The sequence below is a fragment of the Homo sapiens genome, chromosome 11, assembly GCF_000001405.40.
Source record: "Homo sapiens chromosome 11, GRCh38.p14 Primary Assembly".
Classification (NCBI taxonomy): domain Eukaryota; kingdom Metazoa; phylum Chordata; class Mammalia; order Primates; family Hominidae; genus Homo; species Homo sapiens.
The window spans coordinates 116,216,603-116,219,576 of record NC_000011.10 but is presented as its reverse complement, the minus strand read 5'-3'; the positions used below and the strand labels follow the sequence as shown (position 1 = coordinate 116,219,576).

At 45.8% G+C, this 2,974-nt stretch overlaps 2 annotated features.

The window, feature by feature from the left end:
• Positions 2,211-2,505: a silencer, noted in NCBI's record as "tiled region #5427; K562 Repressive DNase matched - State 12:CtcfO". NCBI's record gives its function as "represses a minimal TATA promoter and a strong SV40 promoter by Sharpr-MPRA in K562 cells {active_cell/tissue: K562}" and the evidence as "EXISTENCE:reporter gene assay evidence [ECO:0000049][PMID:27701403]".
• Positions 2,211-2,505: an enhancer, noted in NCBI's record as "tiled region #5427; HepG2 Activating non-DNase unmatched - State 12:CtcfO". NCBI's record gives its function as "activates a minimal TATA promoter and a strong SV40 promoter by Sharpr-MPRA in HepG2 cells {active_cell/tissue: HepG2}" and the evidence as "EXISTENCE:reporter gene assay evidence [ECO:0000049][PMID:27701403]".

Genomic DNA, 2,974 nt, shown 5'->3' with positions numbered 1-2,974 from the left:
TCAATCCATGTTTCTCCTTCATTTCTAAAACCACACGCACTTGCTGGAACACTAACTCCATCTGGTCTTGATTCGCTTCTTCCTGATTTCACTCTCTGCTGGAAAGTGCTGCATCCTGCCTGAGGCACCTTAGGGAGCTGCTCTCACAAACTCCCTGGTTTTTCTCCCCTGAGGCTTAGCAAGTCAAGCATTGCCAAGAGCTCCCTTCCTTCTGCCCCAGCAGAGAGGAGCAACCACCGTCTGGGTGAGCAGGCTTTTGCCTTCTTCCCTGGGGGCGGCTGGCAAGCTGGAATCACCAGCTTACCTCCCACAGGCACCTGGAGGCTGTCTGTGCCCTTCTTGGCAGGCTGCCCTCTCTCCAGGAAGTCCAGCTTTTCAAAACTTTGATCCCTTGTTACAGTTGCATCTCCAGTATGCCCACCCTTGTCCCAAGCTCTTACCCAATACTGTCCTCTTACCCTTCTCTACTCATTCTCTCATTTAGGCAGGAGGCAGTATAGTGATTAAGAACCTGAACTTGAATTCAGCTCTCCTGTTTATGGTCTGTGCAGTTGTCTCTGGGGTGATTTTCCTATCTGTCAATTGGGCATAATAATTCTTACCTAAGGGGCTGTTGTGAAGTACAGTCCTTGGAAGGGCCAGTCACGGTGGCTCATGCCTGTAATCCCAGCACTTTGGGAGGCCGAGGTGGGAGGATCACTTGAGGCCAGGAGTCCTAGGTCAGCCTGGGCAGCATAGCAAGACCCCATCTGTTGAGGTTTTTTTTTTTTGAAGTACAGTACTTGGTACACAATAATAAATAATGTGTCTTAGTCTTTGATCTAATGAACATTTGTGAAACATATTGTGTTAGAGTCTTCATTAACGTCCCTAGGTTTCCTCCAGATTTTATTAATAGCCCTTCACTTTCTTCTTAATACCTAAATAAAATAATCTGAGCTTCCATCCCACACACCTCTGGGGAGTCCCTCTCCCCCATAGTTTTGAGGGTTCTCTGGGTGGCCTTGTGTTCTGCTGATGCCTTGTGGTTCTGAATTCCTGCCCCTGCCTCAGTTCTGGAGCCCTCTCCTCAGGTCTTGTTTTCTGCTTGATTTGCTGCCTGCCCAGATTTGCCCAGTATGTGATCAAAAACCTTCTGACTTCCCAAGGCACCATTAGTGTAAGTTGTGTATGAGTGACAATTTTTATAGGGCTTTTGAGAACAGAAGGGTATTAAATGTCTGAGAAGAGAAAGAAATTAAAATTGAGTATTTGAAATGGTTTGGCTGTGTCCCCACCCAAACTCATATTGAATTCCCATGTGTTGTGGGAGGGACTTGGTGGGACATAATTGAATCATTGGGGCAGGTCTTTCCCGTGCTGTTCTCCTGATAGTGAGTAAGTCTCATGAGATCTGATGGTTTTATAAAGAGGAGTGCCCCTGCACAAGCTTTCTCTCTTTGCCTGCTGCCATCCATGTAAGATGTGACTTGCTCCTCCTTGCCTTCTGCCATGATTGTGAGGCTTCCCCAGCCATGTGGAACTGTAAGTCCATTAAACCTCTTTCTTTTGTAAATCGCCCAGTCTTGAATATGTCTTTATCAGCCCATGAGAAGAGACTAATACAGTATTATATACCATTGTTTATAAAGGCATGGAGTTTGCTGGGTAAAAAGAAGGGAATTTGGGCAAGGTGAGGAATTCCAAGCAGAGGGAATGTGTTGTGCAAGGATCCTCTGTAGCCCACAGGGACAGCTGGCTAACAGTTCATCAAATCCATGGCCTCCTCTTCCTCCCGGGTTCTCAGCTGTCCCTATGGAGTTAGCTGTGGCAACTGGCTGAGGTCTAGTCATTTGCATGTGAGTGGAAGGGATGTGTGCCCCTCCTAGGCCTGGCCCATGAAAACCTTTGGGCACACTCTTTCTTGCAAAAGATTAAGACTGGGATGGTGACCTTTGGCTGACTAGGATGGTGGTCCCCAGGGAGCCCTTGTGGGATGTATGCTGGAGACAGCAGAGCTGTTGTTAGCCTAACTCTGGAAGAAATGAAGAGGACAGCTGCTCTTATCAATCAGGAGCATTCATTGTGTTCTGTTCCATGAGTGAGGGATAAAGTTCTTAAATTTGAGCCATAATACATTTTGGGGTCTTTTTGTTTTTGCAGTTAGCATTACCCTAACATATACATCCAAACCTTTTTCTCCTTTAAACTCATCACTCTTGCAATTCCTTGTGTAGTATCAACCTTTCTTGGTAGGCTGTAAGCTACACAAGGGCAGGGATCATGGCTTTCTGTCGTCCATCTCCCAAGCCTGGTGCACTGTTAAGTGCTCCATGATTTCTCTGGTTGAATGAAACCGAATAGACGCTTCTGGGAACACTGCACAGCGCCGTCTGGTGAGCGTGGAGAGCAGTGTTGCCTTGTTTCAAAGCTTTGTTGTTCTTTGCAGAGTGCTTCTGTTCTAAACTTGCCTGATTCTGACTTCTGAATGTAACATATGCCCTTAGTCCAGGCTGCTTACATGCCTGGAGCCTAAAGCTTTGCCTTGGCCACTGATTTCCTATGATGTTGGGCAGTGCATGAGCTTGCTGCCTCCTGTTCTTTCCTGAGCTCCCCGGTTCCAGGCAACTGTCTTATAACAGTAACACTGTGAGATGCTGGCGTTTGAACCCTGGCTTCACCACGTATTAGTCATGCAACCCTCAGGAATTTAGGTAACCTCTCTTGTGCCTCAGTTTCCTCATTTGAATAATCGGGATACTAATAGTATCTATATCATAGGATTATTGTGAGGACAGAATGAGGTAATACATGTAAAACACCTCGCATGTTGCTTGGCATATAGCAAGTGCTCAATAAGTGCTGTTATTGTTAGGATTATTCTTGCATTTTTCAGTTTATAAAGCAGTTTCATGAATTTCAATGAATAGCCCTCCTATGACCCTTGGAGAAATACATTATAAGTAAAATGACCATTCAACGCTCAGATGCAAAT